At 38.3% G+C, this 24,074-nt stretch overlaps 1 long non-coding RNA gene across 1 annotated transcript; it reads right to left on the reverse strand.

The window, feature by feature from the left end:
- Positions 1-9,417: 9,417 nt before the first annotated feature.
- On the reverse strand, positions 9,418-18,392 carry LINC00708 (long intergenic non-protein coding RNA 708). The gene is made up of 5 exons (NR_108058.1): positions 18,286-18,392; positions 16,719-16,786; positions 16,341-16,436; positions 10,733-11,037; positions 9,418-9,757 (listed from the first exon to the last, which is right to left on the reverse strand). It is a non-coding gene; the product is annotated as a long intergenic non-protein coding RNA 708 (long non-coding RNA).
- Positions 18,393-24,074: the final 5,682 nt, after the last annotated feature.

The following is a 24,074-nucleotide window of genomic DNA, read 5'->3' on the forward strand; positions in this document are numbered from 1 at the left end:
AATTTATAACAGTAGCACATTTTCTTTAAGAACTCCCTTGAAGCTTCAGACAGCTCCCTTGAGCCTTGCACTGCACATTGGGTGGCTTGGCTCCATGAGCTAGCTGACTTCTTCTACTTGTTTTATGTTAATTTGGGCCAAACTCCCAAGATTCTCTGAACAGTAGTCCTTAATGCCCAGAAATGTAAATCGACCTCGATGTTTTATTTGAAGTTGGTTAATTTGACTCTCTCTCTCTCACCTTCACTTTCTGTCATTTAAGAAAAGATAAATTTTGAGCAAGAAAATGAAAAGTCACGTGCTCATGAAACTCATGACAAGATAAATGGTTATGTCAGTGGTAGGCAAATGTGAATTTTAAAGCCGATCTGAAAGAAAGAGAGAAGTTACCTTGCCTAGTTTAAGACATTCTATTTCTTTCTTAATAAGGCCATCAACTTTCAAATCAACAAGGTGTGGTCTGGCGTTATCATTCAAAGAATAAATGCCAGCAACTCCCCTTCGTTTTTGTAAATACTGAAACCTTCAGGGAAGAGCTTTGTTGAGGGTCTATGACATATTCATATGATTATTACTCCTATTCGGTGTTGTTTTGAAGACTGACATAGAGTGAAAGGTTCACTCATTCAGCACACAGAGCTTTTTTAAGTGTCTACTGTCAGGCATTGCTAAACCCTGGATAAAAATGAATCACACATAATTCCTGTCTTCAAGGAGTTAAAGCTTTTTAGGGGATTATGTTTCTCCCAGGGTTCTTACATATTTCCTATCATCTGACAGTTCATTGCATGATTTTCACCAACCAGCTCCAACATTCCCAATTTCTTTTAGGAGACTATGATTTTTCATGTGCATTGTATCTGTTCATATAAAAGCAATTCCATTGTAAATTAGTTTTATACAATTCAAGTAGTATTTACTAATGCTCACCATTAGGGTGTTGGCATCCCTATCTCCTGTTCCACTTAGGAGTATGATAGACGTGAAGGAATAAGGAAATCTAGAACATAGTTCTGGCTTCACTAGTTCCTCACTGTGCCATTTTGGGCAGGTTACTTTGGTCTCTGTTTCCTCATCTGTGTAATGAGGCTGTTGTAAGTAACACTTCCAGCTCAAGATTTTATGTTTTTAGGTCTCGTTTCTAAAAAAAAAAAAATTCACAGTACTAGAAGTACATGAGTAGGTGTGCATGCAACACCTCCCATTACAAACATCAACCTGCTATGAGAATGTCCTTGGATCATTTGGGATGTCAGCTTCTGTACCATGTGAGAATGTTTTCCTGCTGGGCTTTACTCTCTGATTGTAAAGACTGGGATCCTGTGAATGTTGGCTCTTTATGTGGCTGGGAAAGGGCTTCTTATTGACTGCAGAATATGAAGTTATTAACCAGGGAGAGACGCCATGTAGCTGTAAGTAAGTGTACTGTTGAATGTGTTTATGATGGCCAACTCTGATATTAAATCATTCTCAGGTCAAAGTTTTGTTGAGAGGAAAAATAATTACATAATACATATATTACATCTATGTATGTAATACTTATTACATATATGTAATATAATGCATTACATATATAAATATACATATATACATATACAGCTGTGTACATATATACATGTGTAATAATGTATCTCAATGTAGCTTAGTACATAATAATTGCTCAGCTGTATGTATACAGCTGAGTAAAAAAATTGCAGCATCTACATATTGTTATAGATTTTGGCAACAGTTTTTGATCTAACATTTTTGGCATTTAAAAATACATTTAAATCATATGACAATACATTGAATATGGTAGCAGGTAGAATAAGGCTGATAACAGGTAATTTAAATAGTTGACTTATCAGGTATCTGACATTTTCTCTATAACTTTATGAAAAAGAGAAGGATATTCACAAATACACTTACAAAAAAAGATGTTACAGGGAATCTAAACATTGTGTTAGCATATATTACATAGGAGTAATTATTATATACAAAACTCCGTTGAGATATATAATTATATATATGTATATACATATACAGCTGTGTGTATATATATATATATAAATTAAATGGATTAACAAACAACTGCATTATAGTTATTCATTTTTAAACTATCTGTTGAAATACAAAGTGTAACTTATTTGACAAATATTTGTGGAATACCTATTGACACACTGCTGAAAGTCTGTACTCTGCAGTTAATGATCATGATGTGTAGTTTCATCTGAAGTCCAAATCACAGTATGATTCATGGCTGGGGAGTCAGTAAAAATCACTACAGTTTAATCTCTCATATTAAAAGGGTCAAATTTGGGGATTGAGTGTATGGGATGCAGCTTTCTGGTAGCGGTGTCCTGCTTTTTCACAAAGCCAACTCACTGTCTGGACAGCAAAGAATGTCCCCAACCTGCCTTCTATTTCCTTCCCTGTTCCACAGGGAGCACCAAGTTATGAACAGGCCATTGGCTTTTTCAGCCACTGGCATTTTCTTGACTTCAGAATCAAAAATTGGGTGGAATTTGGGGGAATCTATTGCTTTTATATATTTAAAAGATTTCACTATTTTAAAAAAAATTGCAACATCAAAGTAAGGTTATAGATTTTGGAAACAGTTTTGGATCTAACATCTTTGGCATTTACAAAATACATTTAAGTGATACAACAATACACTGAATATGGTACCAGGTAGAATAAGGCTGATATCAAGTGACTTAAGTTGTTCACTCATCATGTATCTGATATTTTCTCCATAACTTCATGAAATGGAGATGAAATGGAGAGAGATATTTTCAAATACACTTATGAAAAAAGATGTTACAAGGAATCTAAACATTGTGTTAGGGTAGGAGCTTTTTACCTGTGATAGCTAATTTTATGTTAACTTGGCTGGGCCACGAGATGCCCAGATATTTGGTCAAACATTATTCTGGGTGTTTTCTGTGAGGGTATTTTTGGATGGGATTAATATTTAAATTGGACTTTAAGTAAAGCAGGCTGCCATCCCTAGTGTGGGGAGGCACTGTCCAATCAGTTGAAGGCCTGAATAGAACAATAAACTGACCGTTTCCCAAGCCAGAGAGGATTCTCCAGCAGATGGCCTTTGAACTTGAACTGGAACCTGGGCTTTCTTGGGTCTGCAGCCTGCCAGCCTTTGGACTGGAATTGGAGCTTTGGCTCTCCTGGGTCTCCAGCCTGTGCTGTATGCTGCAGCTTTCAGACTTGCCAGCCTCCGTAATCATGGGAGCAAATTCCTTATAATAAATCTTTTTACACTCCTATATGAATTATAGTATATTATACATATACTATTGGTTTTGGTTTTCTGGAGAACCCTATTAACTGAATGTGTCTGTCTTCAGTACTCAGGAGATTATTTCTGTGAGTTCCAACACCCCTTGTGCGGAAAATAGAAGAGCAGCAAGAAAACAAGGAATAACAGAGATTAAGGAGATTTTGTCTATAAGGTGGATTGGAGGTTATGGATAGAGTTAAATAAAAAAAAAAGGTCCTAAGACATCCAGCAAAGGCATGTACCTTATAAAGAACAGATAGCATCAACCCAACTTAATTTCATTGAACTATTTTCCTCCTCATGCCGCTTTGTTATTTATAAATCCCTGACCAAAAATATCTCTGTAAGATAAGACCTAAAGACATTCTTATCCCTCCTACTGTGCAAATAGTTTATGCGGCCATCCTCAGCACTTACAATATGGTGGTTACCTGTTGGCCTCAACCTCATGTCTCCAAGTTCCTTGAAGCCAGGGACAAGCACAGTGCTTGTCACTTATAGGGAACTCCATAAATATGTGTTAAATCAACGAATAAATGCATGTAGGTTTTGGCCTCACCAAGCTGTTTTCCAGCTTGAGAATGTTATGAAGGAATTCTGCAAAATCTTTCTTGAGATCACATCAAAATAATTTTGTAAATATGGTACTCCTGTCCATTTACTCAAGATGAATGACATTTGGGAGGCTTAAAAGAGCTTTCGGGTTGCATTTAGTTGATTCTTTGTGAACTGACTATGGGAAAGATGATGGGGATCAGTAAAGGTTTTGAGTGATTATTTTAAGAACTTACAATAAAGGGTTACTTCCCTGATCTCAGAAGCACCACTACATCAGTGCTCTCCCTGAGTTTCAGTATCATTCCAGCCCTGGGTAGATCCACTGATACAGGGGCTAGAGAAGGCAGGCCAGGGCTGTGGCTCTCAGGAGGGATAGGAGTTGGATGTTTGCAGAGGTGGCTTTTTATGTCCTAAAGCCATTAGTTTCATGACACTTTATTATCTCATTCTCAGATTTCATTATTTGTTGACTATATTGTCTTCTAATATAGCCTGATCATTTGCTCACAAGTAAATATATGTATATATATGAGAGTATATATATATATACATATATATATGAGAGTATATATATATACATATATATATGAGAGTATATATATACAGATATATATGAGAGTATATATATACAGATATATATGAGAGTATATATATATGAGAGTATATATATATGAGAGTATATATATGTGTGTGTGTGTGTATATGTATATGGAGAGAGAAAAAGAAAGAAAGAGAGTGAGCAAGTGAGTGAGTGAGACAGAGAGCAATAATGACTAGTCACAGAGGAAACTAACTCTTAGCAACTTGACGTTTCTCATGCCCCACATGAGGAGTTTGCCACATAGGCTGAGAGGGAGTCACATTTAATAGTAATAATTTCCACCTGCTGTCATGGAGTCTCAGATTATGCATACAGGTGGTGGTTTTATTTTTTTCCATCCAAGAATCTTGAGGCACCTTAAGAACATTAATTAGACCCTGGACCTCTTTGAAGTTGAGCCTCTACCCATATACACATGATGAAATGCAGAAGGGGAGAGGCTAATTGAGTAAAATCAGGACCACACAGAATTCCATGAAAGAGCCAGGGAGATGACGGCTTCCCTATCTGAGGCCAAAACAAGGAAACACTGAGAAGAGACGCCTGTTTGCCAGGTGCTTGAAATTCACCTGGAATTTCCACCCCCCCAACCCCATTTCATTTACAAACCATCTTCCCTCTCCCCTCTTTGCTGCAGCACCCTATACAAAGAAAATCTAAATCACCATGTGATAATTACCATCACTCTCAGGGTTTGCTACCCCGCACCTACAGAGCTGAAGCGTTCTCTGAGAACTGCTGTAATGGGTGTACCTGCCTTTCAGTTCTCGGTGAGAGTATGTTTTCTTGTTTAGAACTGTTTCTCTCTCTTTACCCCCTCCTCCTCCCTTCCTTTCCTTCCTTCTTTCTCTCTCTTTCTTTCTTTCTTTCTTTCTTTCTTTCTTTCTTTCTTTCTTTCTTTCTTTCTTTCTTTCTTTCTGTTTCTTTCTTCTTTCCTTCCTTCCTTTCTTCTTTCTTTCTTTCTTTCTTTCTTTCTGTCTTTCTTTCTTCCTTTCTTCCTTTCTTCTTTTTTTTTGAATGGAGATCTACCAGTAATCTTCCCACAATTAAATCCAGGTAGGAGAATATAAAGTTCACGAAAATGACTCAAGGCAAGGGTTGCAGCTCCCACCCACTCAAATTGTACAAAGCTTAGTCACTCTGAGAAAGTAAAAATACTAGTATCTGGGTGAAGAAAGGGAGAAATGGAGGGTTTAGGGGCAAGAAACCCCAGTGAGCATGAGGGACAGACAACTCAATAGAAATACAATGTTTTCTATGCTTGAATTTCTATTGAACTTTTCAGTCATGTCTCTTTTCTCCATACCATTCTGATAAGGTCATTAAAGAAGGAACATGGGAAGAAAATCTCTCTCTATCAGCCTGGCCATTTCTTACAGCTCCTTTTGGGAGGATTTTTTTTTTTTTCGCCTTAACAAGAAGCTGTTCAAAGGATGCTCTTGGAGGTATTAGTGAGAAACATGGATTGATCTCTGACAGAGATGGACAGAGCTATCCACAAATGATAGGAGACTCAATAAGTAATGGTTGGAAGACATTAATCAAGGGCACAGCCTCCTGGACATGCAGAAGGAAATGCTATGGTTTTGCATGTGTGGAAGCACCGAAAGCCTAGGACAGTTCTCTCCAGGATGCTGTAAGAGACAGTGGTTGGATGAAACGCCAAGCTGCAGCAGATCATTTTTAGAATGAGGAAGCATTTACATGCATAAATAATGGGAAGGAAAAATGGAAGAAAGCAGACTAGATTGAGGACAAAGACATAGAATAATTTTTTTTTTGTTTTAATAGAGCAAGAGAAAGAGGCAGTGTAAGCAGATGAAAAGCTTTCCTTCTTAAAGAACAGCTCCCAGTGGTGCAGGTATCTGGCAAAGGCCTAATAATGTGTTTATTTGTAGACTGATTTCGATGAGAGGAACCAACAAAGACCCTAAAATATATCAGGCTCAGACATGGTAGATCATTTAGCACTCCTTTTGCCCTGTGTGGAATCTTCCTTCCTTCTGGGAGTTTAAAGCTGCCTCCCTTAGTGAGAGGTAGCCTCTCCTGGGCTCCAGGCCTCCAGTTCTTTGCACACAAAGACAAGCACAGCTGCCCAGCAGCCACACAACTGCCAGGCTGCTTAGGGAGGGACAGAATGCCATTCTGTCTGAAGGTGGGTGAAATTGCTGCCAATTTCCTCTAAGTTTGCCCTGTCTTTCAAAATTCCAAATAACAGCACACAAACAATCCCAGGCCCTCCTGGCTGCCATCCCTTTCTGGAGTAATTAGTTGAAATGCACATGATGTTCTCACCTCATTCTGAGTTTCCATGGAGTCGCCACCGTCTCCCTTAACCAGAACCTGCCATGAGCTGCTTGCAAGGGACCTGGTTCCTGGCTTTCTGAGGGAGGGAGTTTGACTGTCCTGGCAAGCATACGGAGGACTGGAGAGGTCATTGGTTCCCAGCCTGGATCTGCCAAAGGCTTTGACCTGATCAAGCCTCTCTGGGTGCTCTTAGTCTTCTTAGTTATAAAAGGAAAACATCTTTGGTTCCTCTTTATGGGGATGACTCTAGGAGTGGTGGCTTGCAGTAAGAGGGGAAAAAGAAAAGCATACATGTGGAGAGCCTGAATGTTCTGCAGAGGGACTTGGAGTTAATTTAACAAACAGTAGGAAGCTCTTATGACTTTGGGACAGAAATATGACACCATGAAAGCAAAACTGATTAGGTGAGAGGGTGGCCAGGGGAAATCAGTAACCAGGACTGGAGACAAGGTGGCTGGCTAGGATGCTGCTGTGATATTCCAAGTTATGTGGTCATGAAGGCTGGATTTTGGTTACAGATCTGGGAATGGAAGACAAGTAGTTATCAGAAGTTGGGCCAACAATAGTGTAGACTGGTGTTTTCAGAGTGTTTTCATCCCTTGAGCCCTTCCAGACCTGCTGACTCAGAAGCACTAGAGCCCAGCAGTCTGTTTTCATAAGCCCTCCTGACGATTCTAGTGCAGGCTAAAGCTTGAGAACCCCTGTTGTATACCACTGGGCAGATCATCAACAGGGGTGCAGAGACTTGGATTCTACTTCACATTCCAAATAAATAGTTGAATGGAATGAAAGATATCACTTAACCTTTTTTTCTCCGTCCCCTAGGCTGCAGTGCAGTGGCACAGTCTTGGCTTACTGCATCCTTGACCTCCTGGGTTCAAGAGATCCTCTCACCGTAGCCTCTAGAGTAGCTGGGATTGAAAGGCATACACCACCGCACCCATCTAATTTTTTATATTTTTGATAGAGATGGGGTTTCACCATGTTGCCCAGGTTGGTCCCAAATTCCTCAGCTCAAGCGATCCGTTTGCCTTGGCCTCCCAAAGTGCTGGGATTACAGGTGTGAGCCACTGTGCCCAGTCTCACTCAACAGTTAGGGGTCTCAGTTTCTTATCTATCTTTCATATATAGCTCTAAAATATTGTGCATCAGTTAGGAGTTGTGTTTTTGTTGCATATAAAAGAAAACCCCAAATAACAGTATCTTAAACACTGCAGGCATTATTCTCTCACACAGGAGAAGCCTAGAGTTGGGTGATCCAGGGCTGCTAGTCTGGCAGCTCCCGCATTGTCAGGGACCCACGCTCCTTTTGTCTTTCTGCTCTGCCAACCTCAGCACTGGTGTTGCAGCTTTCTATCACTGCTATAGCAAAGGACCACATATTTACTGGACTAAGACAACAGAAATTTACTGGTGGTCCAGTTCCTGAATTCAGGACTCTGAAATGGTTCTTGTGGGGCTGCAATTGATGGCTCTGCCTTCCTTTTCCATTTCCTTGCCTTTTGCAGCTTCTAGGGCTGCCTGCACTCCTTGGCTTGTGGCTCCATTTCTCCATCTTCATAGCCAGCCATGTGGGGTCCTTCTCACTCTGCCATCTCTCTGGGTTTTTTTTCCGTCTCACTCTTCCCTTTTTAAGGACTCTTGTGATCAATTTGGGCTCACCTGGATAATCCATGGTCATCTCCCAATCTTCAGGTCGGCTGATTAGTAACATTTATTCCATCTGCAAACTTGACTTCTCTTTGCTGCATAGTGTGACTTACAGGTTGCAGGGATTTGGGTGTGGGCATCTTTGCAAGGAATCGGAGGGTGTTTTCCTGCCTCCCATCCTCAGGGCTAACTCATGGTCCTTCCTAGTGCCTGCAGTTCCTGCTGTCACATCAGATTGCCAGGTGGCATACAAGTAGAAGTGAGGAGGATGAGGGTGCACCTGCCAGCTAAGTTAGTGCCCACAGCACTTTCCTGCTAGCCTCTCCTGGGCCGGGACCGAGTTACTTGACCACATCTAGCTGCAAAAGAGACTGAGAAGTGTGCACCTACTTCCTGGTGATAAAGTGCTCAGCTAAGATTAAGATTCTGTTCCTGTGGAAGAAGGGAGAATGGCTCTTGGGTAGGCAGCCAGCAGCCTCTGCCACAGACAGGCAGAGACAGGGCCTTGATGTTCTCCAAACTCTTTCATCCCCAACAATCCCATGACTCTCTAGAACTAAGGTGTAGGACCGAATGGGAGTTTTAATTTGAGATAAATGAATAACTAGAGCAGAGGGAAGAAGGAAGTCTTTGTTTTCCACTTTCTTTTTTTCTTCTGGGGTGATTGGGTTCATTTATGTATTATCGAGCATCTTTTTTTTTTTTTTTTTGAGAGAGGGTATTGCTGTGTCCCCTAGGCTGATGTGCATGTGGCATGATCACTGCTCACTGCAGCCTCAACTTCCTGGACTCAAGTGATCCTCCCACACTAGCCTCCCAAGTAGCTGGGACTACAAGCATACACCAGGCTAATTTTCAAATTTCTTGTACAGACAGGGTCTCGCTATGTTGTCCAGGCTAGTCTTGAAGTCCTGGGCTCGAGCGATCCTCCCGCCTTGGCCTCCCAAAGCACTGGGATTACAGGCGTGAGCCACCATGCCTGGTCTTGTTGAGCACCTTAAAAGAAGCAGACACATTACACACGTTTGTCTTTACACAGGCACCATGTCAAAAGGGGCTTTTTGGTGGTTCATTCTGCTTTTAGCCCTACCCAAAAACATTTCATTATTGAGAAAATGAATTGTCATTTCTATTTGCAGCTACAGATTAAGGCTAGAGACTCTCCTAGGGAGCGTGTTATTCCTGGCTTTGCACAGGTATAGCTGTAGCTGTGACAGTGCTCTATCCTCGCAACCAGAACATACTTAGAAGATTAACACGCCATCCTTCAAGAAGCATCTTCTGTAAGATAGGGACCTTGTTTGGTTCAATGAACATTGGTACAGACCCCAGCACAGAAGAGAAGCAGGTTTGCAATACTTTTCCTAAAACAAAACAAAACAAAACAAAATGAATCAATGAATGTTAAATAGCAATCCACGGATCTATTATCTTTATGTGTCTTTCATTTTGAACTATTCAAAGCTCTTCTATAAGCCTCGTTTATAATTTAGCTGAGCGCTTTCTCTACCTATTTTCTGACCGTATCTGTGGATTTGTGGGCAGACACTCTATTTTGGAAGATATTTACACTGTCAATATACTTTCCATTTGACACTGCCTACCTTCTTCCTTGCATCCTTATGGTTCAGCTGGAGGAGGGAACCAAGTTTTATGGACACAGTGGGGACATGGGCTGCTGTGGGCAGTGATTCTGCCAGTTCTTTCTGTGTTTTGCTTTCTTAAAGTGGGGGAGTCCCGCCCGCTGTGACGGCTCCTAGAGCCAGTGGTCTGTTCATTAGAGAAGTGGCTGAACTTCATGATGGGAGTGTAGTAGACAGGTCGCGAAGGGGGCCCTTCCACAGGAACAGTCTAATATAAACAATAATAACCATAATAATAATCTGGGCTTTCACGGGAGCTTTCATCGAGGAACCAAAAACATATTATGAACATTGACTCATTAATCTTCACAACGCCCCTGTGAGGGTGAATTAAGTGTAAGTCATCATAATTATTACTGTCATTATCCTACAAACAATTCCCAGATGTGCTGTGGCTGAACTGGCATACTTTGGGGATTTTATGTTTTACAGGGACCCTGGACTTTTGGCAGGAGTTCACATCTCTCTTTTTTTCCTGCTTCCTTGCTCACTCTATCTTACTGAAAAAATATGGAATTTTTTTTGGTGTGTGAGGATTTGGATGACATGAATGGGAAGTAATTTCCAATGCATGGCGATCCCCTCTTCTCTGCTTTTGCCTGCTGGAAAGGTTAGATATTCTGCACCAGATCCAGACCCAGGCCCCTGGAACCGATCACAGGTTTTGCTTAAAAGCAAAATCATACATTTACAAACCACGTATGATGTTTATGACTTCAGCCTTGTCTCTTCAGGTGAGGGCTTGGGAAGTTTCATTCTACATGTAGCATCGTGTTCACTCTGATACCATTTAAATTAGTACAATGTCCTCAGCACCAAGCGTCAGAGACCTCCGCGCAATTGGCAGCATCTTCTGCGTGTAGCTACAGGTCCCTGAGAGAGACCGGCGCGCCTCTCCCACAGGGGCGATCCTCCCTCCGCACCCTTGCGACCACCTCGGTGCCCTGTTCTTGGGAAAACAGGTTGCCTCGGAGTTCCAGAAGAATCACAAGGAAAATCAACTGCAGAGAAAGATCACTCAGTTATTTAAGAGTGAAGACGGTAAATCCGCAGATGAGAAGTGCCAAAGTGTTGGATGTACATATAGTTTTGTATCTTCTGTGTGCTTTTAAAAATGTGCATTATTTTATGATTATACAAGCAGTGTGCATGACAGGAAACCCAGAAAACATTGGAAAGTATGAAGAAAAAAATAAAAGTCACCCATAGACCAGTACTAGGATTTACGTATGGTAACATTTTCGTGTATTTCTTTCGATACTTTTGGTATTGATGTTCAAGTTTATATTACAAAATTTGGGTTCTGTATGAATTTTGATATTGGTAAATAGATGAGGACATGCACACTGGGAAATGGGAGAGGGAAAGAAGGCTGTGAGGAAATAGGGAAGGACAAAGAATCGTGCAGAATCTCCGAGTGCTGGGAGGGCACAAGGATCAGAAGCCTCACGTAATGCCTGGCAGATAGTAGATGACCTAGAAATGCTTGCTTAGGAAATCACGGAAGAAACCAGCTGCTGGCAAATCAGGCAGGAAGGGCTTCTGTAGCAACCCTAGTAGCTCCTGTGAATTCACCAGGAGCTTCCCGCATGCTATTTTTCATCCCATAACAACCTGCCTAAGCGGGTATTGATGCCTACAGTTGATGGGAGAGGAAGCTGAAACTCGGGGATGTGAAACTGACTTTGCCAAGATCACACGTCTATGAAGCAGCAGAGCTGGAACTCAAATTTGAGCTGGTTTTGCCTCTAAATCCCATGCTTTCTTTCCCACTCCCCTGAAATTCCACAGAGCCTTTCCACAGTTACCCACTCCACGAGGAAGCTGTGAAGGATGAGAAGTAAGACAGGGCTTTAGGGCTTATTCATTAGATGGTCACTGGGTGGGAAATTTCTGCAGGTTAGAAGGCAGAGGCTGGCCTGGTGGTGTTAAAGAGGGAATCAATGGGAGCAAGAGTGGAGCATGTCAGGAAGACGGGCATCAAAGAACAGTACGTGACGGAAGAGTTCAGGGGTTCATAATTGTTGCAGCAGAAAGCTGTTTTGAAGGAAATGTGTGCATATTAATAAGCTTATCATTTTCATAGATTAAAAAGCGAGTAGAGAAGGAGTGAATGAGACAGAAGAGAGAGAAGAGGGTGTATTGATGGAATTAAGTCTTGGCGAGGATGTGAGGGCAAGCCTGCGTGGAGAAAGGATGAGATGACTCACTCATTCAGAAAATACACACAGTCCTCACCTTCTGGAAAACATTAAGCCCGAGGCTTCAGAGAAAAGGGAGCACTTACACACTGCTGGTGGGAGTGGAAGTTAGATCAGCCAGTGTGGAAAGCACTGTGGAAATTTCTCAAAGAACTTTAAATACAACTACAATTCAACCCAGCAATCCCATTCCTGGGTGTATACCCCAAGGAAAATAAATCGTTCTGCTGAAAAGACACTCATATGTTCATCACAACACTATTCACAATAGCAGAGACATGGAATCCACCCAGGTGCCCATCAGCAGTGGATTGGAGAAAGAAAATGTGGTACATATACACCACGGAATACTATGCAACCATAAAGAAGAATGAAATGTCCTTTGCAGCAACATGGATGCAGCTTAGCCATTATCCAAGGCAAATTAACACAAGAACAGAAAACCAAATACCACATGTTCTCACTTATAAGTGGGAGCTAAACATTGGGTACTCATGGACGTAAAGATGGGAACAACTAGACTACTAGAGCGGGGAGAGAGGGAGGGAAGGCAGCAGAAGCTGAAAAGCTACCTACTGGGTACTATGCTCACTGCCTGGGTGGTGGAATCATTCATAGCCCAAAGCTCACCATCATACAATAAACCCATATAACAAAGCTGCATGTGTACTCCTTGAATTTAAAATAAATATTGAAATTATATACATATATACACACATACATGTATATATGTATATGCATGAGTATATATAAATATATATAAATTTTTATATAAATATATAAATATATATATATAAATTATGTGTATATACACACATACATATGTATATATGTATGTGTGTGTGTGTATATATATATATATATATATATAAAATTCAGACCAGTAAAAAAAGAGAATATGTTATAAAAACAAGTTAATGGCACTGCCAAGACAGAACAGTCTCCTTGAAGTTCTTTGCAATAATTAAATAAATAACAACACGCCAGAAAAAGTTAAAAATGACACCACCACCCACTCTGAGCCCTCTGAAATTAGACTGAGGAGAGGATCTAGATGAAGCCAGAGATGTTTTGAGGGGAAACGGCCAAGGTCGAGTTAGAGGCATAGTCATTCTTTAAAATGTGGTGGAGCTGAGCTAGGAAATGGGATTTAGGGAGAGTAGCAAAGGCTAGGAAAGTCCGTCTGTGAGAGTAAGACAGGAAGTCTAGAAGAGATTGGTTGTGGGGGACTTGCTGAAGAACAGTGAGACCTTCATCAAACATAAAATGTACGGAGCCAGTGCTCGGGAGCTTCATGCTGAGATTTCTTTAGTATAATTTTGTGGCTTGAGATGCACATGTGACTGAAGAAATTGGTAGTGGGATAACTAAGAATTGGAGGTTGGCTTGGAGGCCTTGGTTGAGTCAAGGGAGCAAGGAACTCCAGGCTTAGCTGTGGCTGACAGCAGCTTTCTGGCCAGTGGGGCAGACAAGTACAGCCAGAGACAACTGGTGTATGATAGAAAAGGGAGAAAGGCTCACGCCTGTAATCCCAACACTTTGGAAGGCCGAGGCAGTTGGATCACCTGAGGCTGGGAGTTCGAGACCAGCCTTGCCAACATGGAGATATGCTGTCTCTACTAAGAATACAAAAATTAGCCAGGCCTGGTGGCGCATGCCTGTAATCCCAGCTGCTCGGGAGGCTGAGGGAGAAGAATCGCTTGAACCTAGGAGGCAGAAGTTGCAGTGAGCCGAGATTGCGCCATTGCACTCCAGTCTGGGCAACAAGAGCAAAATTTCATTAAAAAAAAAAAAGGAAACAAAGGAGTTGGGACCAGCCCAAGGGAACAGAGAGCAGGTGCAATGACTATGAGGCAGAAGAAGGGATGGAAGAGAAGGAGATTTGGTTCCACGTGGGGTGCTCTGAGATCAGTCTCTTGGAAGTGGGATGGTTTCAGACGACAGAGACCCAAGCTGTGCCTATATCGGTGGGTGACTAAACTGACACAGTTGAAAGCCCTGAGGTCGAGGAGATGGAAGGACCAGCTTCTCGGTGCCATGCTTTTCATCTGTGACACTAAGACAGATGAGTGCCTGCTAGAGAAGGACACTGACGTTTTGCTCCAGTGGTTGGTGGATGTCAGGAAAAAGAATATGCCTTGATTTTCATTTTCTGGAATTGGATATCACATGCGATGTGTTTATTGAAGTTTGGAAATACTCAGCTTTGAACCTGGGATGGACCCTGTTTAGGCTTGGGAAGGCTGAACTCAATAAACATAAAGAGGCAGAGCTGCAGTGCCGTTGAACTCTGTAGGTGGCACGCGCCTGGCACTGTCTACCTCTTGGCTTTCACAGCACACCTTCCTCCAGGGGCTCACTCAACTCTGGCAATACTGGCTTTAGTTCCTTGAATACACTAAGCTTGTTCCTGCCACAGGAACTTGGAATTTACCATTCTTACTTTGGGGATACTCTTCCTCCAGGGCCTCCCATGGCTTTCAGTTCCCATGGCTGACTCCTTCCCATTATCGGGGTCTTGCCTTTAAAGGCCGCTTCCTCAGATAAGTCGCCCCTGCACAGTCTATCTGGAGCAGCTTCCCTCCTCTCTGGTCACTTTCTAGTACAAGACCCGGTTCGATTTCCTTCTTGGAATGTGTTGCACCCTTTACTTACTGTTATTGCTATTTTACTTACTGTTATTAACATTTTACTTATGTGTTTTGTGTTGTCTGTCTCTCCCCATTTGCTAGCTCTGTAAGGGTAGGGACCCTGACTATGTTGTCCTTCCCTCTAGCCTCAGAATCTAGAACGGTGCCTGACACGTAGTAGATGTTCAATAAAAATTGTTATATGGGAATGGAGAGAAGGCACAAAAAGATGAAGTGCTGAGAGAGATGTAGAAATAGATCTCTGAAGATATCAGCCAACACTGCAAGGCAGGAAAATATAGTAAGAGAAGATGTAACTCAAGGACTTGATTATGAAATATTAATTTCAGCATCAGAGGGTAGAGGCTAGATCCCATTTTAAGGGAGAAAAATGAAAGTCATGAAGGCACAATATATTTTTGGAGCTTGTCTGTACAGCCCAAAGAAAGACGAAACATTGCAAATATGAATTGGAGCCAGGGAAGGTAAATTTAGGATTGGATTTTAAAAAATGCTTCTGAAAGCTAGGAATGGCAGCATAATACCAACAGCAAAATACAAAGGAGGCATGGAAAAAAGATAACAGAGATCACTAAAGAAGGCACTCAATGGAAATTGTATAAAATTGTATAAAATTATACAGCTAGTGCTTTAGATGTTCACAGCTTTGAGGGAGCGACAGGGAATGGAGTGAAGGTGATGGGTTGGTCAGGAGAGAAGCTAGGGAGGGGTGAGAACTCTCACCATAAAGTGCCAACCTTCTCTTTGAAGGTATTGACAAGATCTTGAGTAAAGATGGAGAAGAAGCGATGTGGATAAGAAGGACTTTCCAGGTCTAACGCAGAAAGAGTCATCCTGGGTTGTAGGCGTAGAATTCAATCAGATAGGCTATTTAGCAAGGAGAATGGCAGAATTAAAGAGAGAAATTCATTGAGGTTTGGTAATTATAGTACAAACAGGAGAAGATAAATATCTTCTCCATAGATTACATCATTGTTAAATCTCAATAATTTTAAATATAATTAACCTTTAATAACGCCTTGGATTTAATAATATAGCTATTGCATGGGAATTGTCCACAAACCATTATAAATCTATTTGTTTAGGTTTAACCAACCAAGTAATAAAGTCTGTGTGTAGCTTAGGCCGGCAGTGTGCTTATTAAGTGTCTCACTCAATGTAATTGATTGTAAAATCCACCTAAAATCACACCAAATAAAGAGTATTTTACAAGTTAATTGAAATGAAATTTTTCCTTTCAGCTATTATTTCCTGATTTTTCTCCTTCTTCCCTCTAAATGTCTACCCTGGGGACTCCCCCCACCGCCCACTTCTACTATATCAGGAATTATAAAATGTTATCTGTTTTAGTAATCTTGTTTTCACTCTAGAACCCAAGACACTGGTTTACAATTAATGAGTGAGACAAAAATTGTTCATCTTAAGGGAAAAGCTCATTTTCCCTGTATCTACCTTTTTTTTTTTCCGGAGGGGATGGAGAGAAGAGGGCTCCTCAAATATCAAAATAAGTCATGTCCTGAATATATGTTTGAACCAAACACCTGCCAACTGCAAAAAGCATATTTAGATGTCAGTATAGGTAGATTTACTCTCTGTTGCCAATTATTATGTCTTAACAAAACAAGACAAAACATCTTTTTCCCCTTTGGATAAAAATATTTCCACATTGCACAAATAAAATGCCCAAGCTGAGAGATCTTTAAAGATTGAAAAAAAAGAGGAAAAGAGCATTGGAAGATATCTTTAAGTGATAATGTGCTGATTTCTCTTCAGAAGGCTTTGGTACATTATTACAAGCATTGAACTTAAAGACTGAAAAATAAAACCTACTCTGAAGGGCTTGGATGAAATGACCAGAATTATCTTCTTACTTTAGTGTCATGGAAGGGGCTTCAGTTCTGGAAACGACAAAAATGAAGTTTATGTCAATGCCAAATTTTTTATTTTATTAAAGCTATAAGAGTTTGCACTTGCCCAAATTTCAATGCTGCATTTTTTATTTTAATAAAGTTGTTTAAGAGTTTGCACTTGCCCAAATTTCAGAAATGGCACAGGGAATCGATTCTTTAGAAACTGCATTCTAAATGTACATGTTAGTGGTCCCCTTGGACTCTTGTATTATCATTAGATATTTAGTAATTAGATAGATTATTAATAATAATTGCATTGTTATATATTTATCTAATCATAGTATCTAATTACTAAATATCTAATACTAAATTATCCTTGGTGCATGACCTTAGTTCTGAAAATGTGAGGCAAATACCCTGAGGTTATTGTTCTGGTGGCCCTTACCAAGTTTTCTATATAGAGATGCTTCTCAACTTAGGATGGGATTATAGCTGGATAAACTCATTGTAAGTTGGAAATGTACTGAATACGTGTAACCTACTAAACAGTATAGTTTAGCTTACCTTAACCGTACTCAGAACACTTACATTAGCCTACAGTTGGGCAACATAATCTAACACAAAGCTTATTTATAATAAATTGTTGACTAGCTCATGCAATTTATTGAAGACTGTACTGAAAATGAAAAACAGAATTGTTGTATGGATACTCCCAGTACGGGTTCTACTGGATGTGTATCATTTTGCAAAACTGTAATGTTGAAAAATCTGAAGTCAAACCATGGAAAGTCAAAGAATCTCCGTATTGGGGAAATTTTGAATTGGCCTAGGTCTTAGCATTTGTAGTTTGATATGTGCCCAGCTGAGGGATGAGCTGTGGCCTGCCATTAATATTTGATATATGGTGGTGTTCCATAAGTATTTAACAAATGAATGAGTGAACAAATAACATTAGTCTTAGAAGCAAAGTTTGGTAATCCAGTTGAGACATATTTCTGTCATCAAAAATATGTATTGAAGGCTGTGTTCAGTGGCTCATGCCTGTAATCCCAGCTGTCTGGGAGACCGAGGAAGGCGGATCACTTGAGCCCAGGAATTCGAGACCAGCCTGGCCAACACAGCAAAACCCTGTCTCTACTAAACACACAAAAATTAGCCGAGCGTGATGGCGCATGCCTGTAGTCCCAGCTACTCAGGAGGCTGAGGCATGAGAATCGCTTGAATCCGGGAGGCAGAGGTTGCAGTGAGCCAAGATTGCACCACTGCACTCCAGCCTAGGCTACAGACAGAGCGAGACTGTCTCCAAAAAAAAAAAGTATTGAACAACAGTTGAAAAGTTTAGACTGAGTTCTCTTTCTCTGTCTCTTTTAATGACACATACAATAAAGCTTCAAAATAAACCAAGAACAAGAACATCTGAAACAAAACCGACAACAACAATAAACAGCTCTTAATGCTGACAACAGCCCATGGACCACTCTCTCTCCTGCTCCCCGTGTCGGGGACGCTGCAGAACTCAGCAGAGGTCCTTGAGTCCTGAGATTTACCAGCAAGGTTCATCCTGATGATGCCACTATTTAAAATTACAGCCATCCCTCCTCGCTCCTGACAGTCTCAGTCTCCCAACTCCACAGCACCTGTCATCCTCTAAAACACAATATCATGACGCATTTTTATTTGAACGGATGCCCCTTGAGGACAGAATATTTGATGTCATTAGATCAATGCTCTATTCTCATTGCCTGGAATAGTGCCTGACACTGATTAAGCAGTCAAACAGATATTTGTATATTATATATAAATATTTACATATATTATATATAATATATGTAAATATTTATATATAATATATTAAATATATTATAATTATATAATATATTTTATATATTATACATAATATATTTTATATATTATACATAACATATTTTATATATTATATATAAATATTTACATATATTATATATAATATATTTTATAAATTATATAGAAATATTTACATATATTATATATAATGTATTTTATATATTATATAGAAATATTTACATATATTATATATAATATATTTTATAAATTATATAGAAATATTTACATATATTATATATAATATATTTTATATATTATATATAAATATTTACATATATTATGTATAATATATTTTATATATTATATATAAATATTTACATATATTATATATATTTTATATATTATATATAAATATTTACATATATTATGTATAATATATTTTATATATTATATATAATATTTACATATATTATATATTTTTATATATTATTTACATATATTATATATAATATATTTTGTATATTATATAAAAATATTTACATATATTATATATAATATTTACATATATTATATATAATATTTACATATATTATATAAAATATTTTGTATATTATATATAATATTTACATATATTATATAAAATATATTTTATATATTATATAATATTTACATATATTATATATAATATATTTTATATATTATATAATATTTACATATATTATACATAATATATTTCATATATTATATAATATTTACATATATTGTATATAATGTATTTTATATATTATATATAATTATGTACATATTTATATACAATATATTTTATATATGATATATAAATATGTACATATTTATATACAATTTATTTTTATATTATATATAAATATGTACATATTTATATACAATATATTTTATATAGTATATAAATATTTACATATATAATATATTTTATATATTACATATAAATATTTACATATATAATATATTTTATATATTACATATAAATATTAACATATATAATATATTTTATATATTACATATAAATATTTACATATATGTTTTATATATTATATATAAATATTTACATATATATGTTTTATATATTATATATAAATATTTACATATATATGTTTTATATATTATATATAAATATTTACATATATATGTTTTATATATTATATATAAATATTTCCATATATATGTTTTATATATTATATATAAACATTTACATATATATTTTATATATTATATATAAATATATATATTATATTTTATATATATACATTATACATTTTATATATATACATTATACATATAGTATATATGTATTACATATATAATATATAAATATATGTATATATAATATATATTATATATATAATATATAAATATGTATGTATATATAATATATAAATATATATGTATATATAATATATAAATATATATGTATATATAATATATAAATATATATGTATATATAATATATAAATATATATGTTTAAATATAATATATATATTATATATGTTTAAATATAATATATATATTATATATATTATATACAAATATTTTCATATATTATATATAATATATTTTTTTGAGACAGGGTCTGGCTCTGTTGCCCAGGCTGGAGTACAGTGGCACGATCAAGGCTCACTGCAACCCCCTCCTTCCAGGCTCAAGTGAGCCTCCCGCCTCAGCCTCCTGAGTAGCTGGGATTACAGGCATGCACCACTACACCCCTGCTAATTTTTGTATTTTTTGTAGAGACAGGGTCTCATTATGTTGCCTGGGTTGGTCTCGATCTCCTGAGCTCAAGCAATCCACCCGCCTCGGCCTCCCAAAGTGCTACAGGTGTGAGTCACCACATCCAGCCTCTCAAATATTTTTTGAATAAATAAGTGAAAATCAGTTTCTTGGGAACAAATGAACAAATTCATTTATGACACTGTGTAAATGTTGAGGTCAGTTAATTTTTTTCTTGAACTATGAGTAAGTGGAAAGGTAGAATGGACCTATCAACACTAATATCTGTGTGATACTGACATAGTGCCAGCCACTGGTAAATTACAGCACAAGTAAATTTGCCTTGGAAGAGTAAAAACAAAAAGTTCACATGACAGGACTATCGCAATGTGACTGAATCTTATATTTTGGACAAAAACTGCAACTTCATAATGTGATGTGAATGAATTTAGACCAGTAATGAAATACAAATTTTGGACCTTCGGAGACTTCAGAGCTGGACTTGGGATGTGCACAGCTTGTTTCAGAATGTTTCCTTGCCTCTTTTATTTTCTATCTTGAAATAATTTTGAAAATAATGCATGTTAGAAAACATGAGAACCTGTGTTTTGATTTTTAGTGTGTGGGAGAAATTATCAACCTTGAATAAATAGCTTTAAAATAGAATTGTATTTAAAGTAGGTAGAAAGTTTGAAAATATAAGTTGCCACCCTTGTATTAAAAAGAGGGAACTTTTCATATAGATTTGCCAAATATTAAACTAATTTAATATTAATATTTGATGTTAATATTTAATGCATACTAATCCAACTTAAAGGTTAATGTAATAGTTTTGTTTGGTATATTTATTAATTTGGTATATTTAGTATATTTATATTTATTACATATGTTTCTTTGTTTTGTGTATGTGTTTCATGTCTTGTTCTAAAAAGATTTTAGGTGTTGTGCCCCATTGAGTGTTTTGGTTTAGGGCACTTTGATAAATACTGTATTCAATGAATATGAGTAATGAGTTTTTATGGTAATTTTTATTGTGATTTAAAATATTAAGAGGCGCCTTTACTGTGGTTCTGCATTGTCACTTGTTTCTGGGATAGTAGGTAGAGATTTGGAAGCTTAAATGTCATTAATTTTGTCTGTCCATCAGGTAGAGTGCTTCCCTGTTGAATTGCACAAGGTGGTTTTATGCCAAAAACCATTGACTTCCTTATTTATTCTGCCATACCAATTGGCTTTCAAACCTGTGAAAATTTAATCAAATGTATTCTCCAGGTACCTACGAGTTTCTATTTACTGCTGAGTTTATGCAAAACAAACAAATATGTTTTTTGAATCTATTAAAATAACAAGAAAAAATGGTCATTATAGGTATTCATGTTTTTGCTGAGTTGCCTCCAAGAAAGAAAAATATTTATTCCTTTTAAATAGAGTTTCATGGCTGGGCATAGTGATTCATGCCTGTAATCCCAGCACTTTTGGGAGGCTGAGGCAGGCGGACTGCTTGAGCCCAGGAGTTTGAGACCAGCCTGAGCAACACGGGGAACCCTTGTCTCTACTAAAAAAGTCAAAAAACAAAAATTAGCCAGGCAAGGTGACGTGTGTCTGTAGTTCCAGCTATCAGGAGGCTGAGGTGGGAGGATCGCTTAAGCCCTGGAGTTTGAGGCTGCAGTGAGCTGTGGTTATACTACTACCCTTTAGCCTGGGTGACAGAGTGAGACCCTGTCACAAAAATAAGATAAAATAAAATAAAATAAAATAAATAGAGTTGCACTTTGAGAAAACAGTGATGCTTATGAAATGCTTTATGACATGACCCTCTTCAGGCAAAAGGGTTCAACAAATTGTGTTAATGTGGTTGGTCCTGGGTTACTCTCACCAGAGATTTGCTGCGTGAAAATCTGTTTTGGAAGTCTTGTTGATGTTATCCCCTGCTGTGAACCACTTACTACCGTCTCCATTTACTCTCTTCCCTGCGTGGAGCCTCCAAGGCCAGCAGGAACTGTAAAAGGAAAGTATTCTAAATCAAAACAAATAATTACCATCCTGATCCCTAGGGAAGAAAGCCAAAAAAGCATAGCAGCATTTTTTTTTTTTTTTTTTTTTTTGAGGCAGAGTCTCACTCTGTCACCCAGGCTGGAGTGCAGTGCAATCTTAGCTCACTGTAACCTCCGCCTCCTGGGTTCAAGTGATTCTCCTGCCTCAGCCTCCTGAAAAGCTGGGATTACAGGAATGTGCCACCACACTTGGCTAATTTTTTATATTTATAGAAGAGAGAGGGTTTCACCATGTTGGCTAGGCCGGTCTTGAACTCCTAACCTCAAGTGATCTGCTCACCTCAGCTTTCCAAAGTGCTGGGATTACAGGCGTGAGCCACCGCGCCTGGCCTAAAATTTTTGTATTAGAGTTAAAAAAAAAAAAAAAAAAAAAAAAACCACCCAAAAACAAAAGACTGAACCTCATGGCACCATGGAAACCCCCTGGGTTTGGAATCAGGTACCCCTTCTTCCAAACAGCCAGGAGACATTGGGCAAGGTGCCTTCCTTCCCTGGGTCTCATTTGCATAATCTCAGGACTAGACCAGATGGGTTCTTGATGTTTTTACATCTGCAGGATTTTGTTTTGTTTTGTTTTGTTTTTTTCAGGTGTCCACTTTTTTCTTTTGCAAAACGTTGCTTCTCAGTCCCTCCGCCTGGCTCAGTTTTGGAGTGTGGGCCTCTAATGATCTCATCATGTGTTTTCTTCATTATGCCTCACCTCCTGTTCTTCTGTTCCTCTTCCTGGAAGGACAGGGAATTTGACGTTTGTTTTGGGCTATTTCCCAGCTTCCTTAAGCTATTCCCTTCCTTATTCAGCGATAAAGTAGAGCTGACTCCGTGTGAATAAATTCTGTCACTGACAATTGTTTTCTTAATCAATTTCAGGAGTTACCGAATCAGAATTGGATGGTAAGTGTCTGCGAGTCCAACCACTCATCTGCTATCTGAATCACCTCTGTACTATCTCTATCTCTGAGAGTTTGATCATCCTGTCACGGATACCTGGAACGCCCTTCCCACTTTCCTCATCTGCCTAATCCCTCCTCCCTCTCTGAGACTCCATTCAGGTGAGCTGTCTACCGGAAGCCTCACTTTCCACCCCTACTCCCATCCTTCAAGCTGAGATGGCAGACCCTCTTTTGTGTTCCCCCAACACCTGTCTAGGTCCTTATTGTCTCAACTTACCACACTGCATTTTTATTGTATGCGGACATTTATCTAGGTCCTCTTATTACCAGTGCTTGGTAAAGTACTTAGCACTTAATTTATCTTGTTGGGTAAGTATTATTTCATACAATTCAGTTCCTTTGGTGACATGAGCTCTCTTCTCAAGGAAGTTCATTCCCCTCACAGCTACAAAATTTTATGCTGGTCTGAAATCTCCCCATCTCCTTTGGCCATACAAAACAAACATGATCCCTTCTCTGCATGACAGTTGGAAAGACATTTTAAAGCACCGTCCGACTTCCCTGGAGTCAGGCCAGATGTCCTCATTTCCTTTTAACTATACTTTGTTAGAGTTTAAAGTCTTTTTACCTCGTAATAACTCCAAGCAAATTAATGTGTGGTCCCAGAGCAACTTAGGATAGGGATGGATGGACATTTGATGTTTTGATGGATGTGAATGAATTACTCTGGTTCTATTAACTTATCAACATTCTATAGAAGACTAGTTTTATTGTGAGGGTTAAATGATGTAATACATGTGCCTAGCATAAAGGGGGTGGTCCCTAAATATTATCAGGGTTATATC

Source organism: Homo sapiens, chromosome 10, assembly GCF_000001405.40.
Source record: "Homo sapiens chromosome 10, GRCh38.p14 Primary Assembly".
NCBI lineage: Eukaryota > Metazoa > Chordata > Mammalia > Primates > Hominidae > Homo > Homo sapiens.